Source organism: Homo sapiens, chromosome 18 (genome assembly GCF_000001405.40).
Source record: "Homo sapiens chromosome 18, GRCh38.p14 Primary Assembly".
Classification (NCBI taxonomy): domain Eukaryota; kingdom Metazoa; phylum Chordata; class Mammalia; order Primates; family Hominidae; genus Homo; species Homo sapiens.
Genome location: NC_000018.10, coordinates 60,864,355 through 60,865,633, shown reverse-complemented (window position 1 = coordinate 60,865,633; position 1,279 = coordinate 60,864,355).

Here is a 1,279-nt window from a genome sequence, read left to right as displayed (position 1 = left end):
TGGGCAACGGCAAAACCCTATCTGTACAAAAAATACAAAAAGTTAGCTGAGCGTAGTGGCTTTCACTTCTGGTCCCAGTTACTCAGGAGGGCTGAGGTGGGAGAATCACTTGAACCCCGGAGGTTGAGGACAAGGCTACAGTGAGCCGTGATCACACCACTGTACTCCAGCCTGAGAGACAGAGGAGAACCTGTCTCAGAAGAAATCAATCAATAAATAAAAATAAATGAATAAGTAAATACATCCCAAATTTTTAAAATTAATATTGCTTCTATGATTAGTGTAACCTATTTACTATTCTTTCTTACTCTGTTCTAAATTACTTTTTCTTAAGTCTTTACTTATTTGGAGTTTAAAGTTCTCAAATTTTTATATTATGAAAAAATATCACATTAAAATAGATTTATTTCCAAGATCATCTTTTTGCTCTTGCTTTTAATAAGGTATTTACAAGGCAGGCAGATAAATATTAAAAGTCTTCAAGAGCAACTAGATTTATCATAGAGGATGTATTTACATTGTGATTGATAGTAAAAACCAAACTCCTAAATGAGAAAAACATCTCTACATAAAATTATTAGAACTTATTATACTTTTATAGCCATGGATCTCATTAGAGGCCATTGTAGGATGATGTACCACTGAGATTTCTTATTCTAAAACCACTAGCAAAGTGAAATATTCCTGATACATGCTCAGAGGTTGTATGCATATTTCTTTTCTAGATCTTATACTAGTTGCTCTTTCTAAACTACAATATTGTAATTATGGTAAAAATAATAGAAGTTATCTTATTATGAAGAGATGAATAGCGTTGTAGGAGTATCGTTGTTAAGAGTAAAGAAAACGTAGTAAAACTAACTTTTAGGAACATCTCAAGATATAAGTGTCTAGGTCAGAAATAATGGGAATGCTGATGAAAATTTAAATAAGTGAATAAGGCTGTTTTGTGACCTCTGTAAGTACAAGGATTGTTCTCAGATTGGTTTGGCATAGATAGTAATGTCATCTGTTTCAGTTTCCATATTGACAAAAAGTAGTGTACACAATAATTTTCTCTTTTAAACATATCTGTAGAACCACTGAGTATGTAACGAGTTAGCATTCTTGGCAGCTAGCATGTATCACAGCAGCATATATACAACTCGGTTAAACACTTTCAGGAACACTGATAGCTAATATGGTAGTTGTGATAGTTTTGAATTTTATACAGATTTTTATTAATTGTATGTTTATTTTTATGCATATATCACAATTGGTTTAAAAAGCAAAATGAATA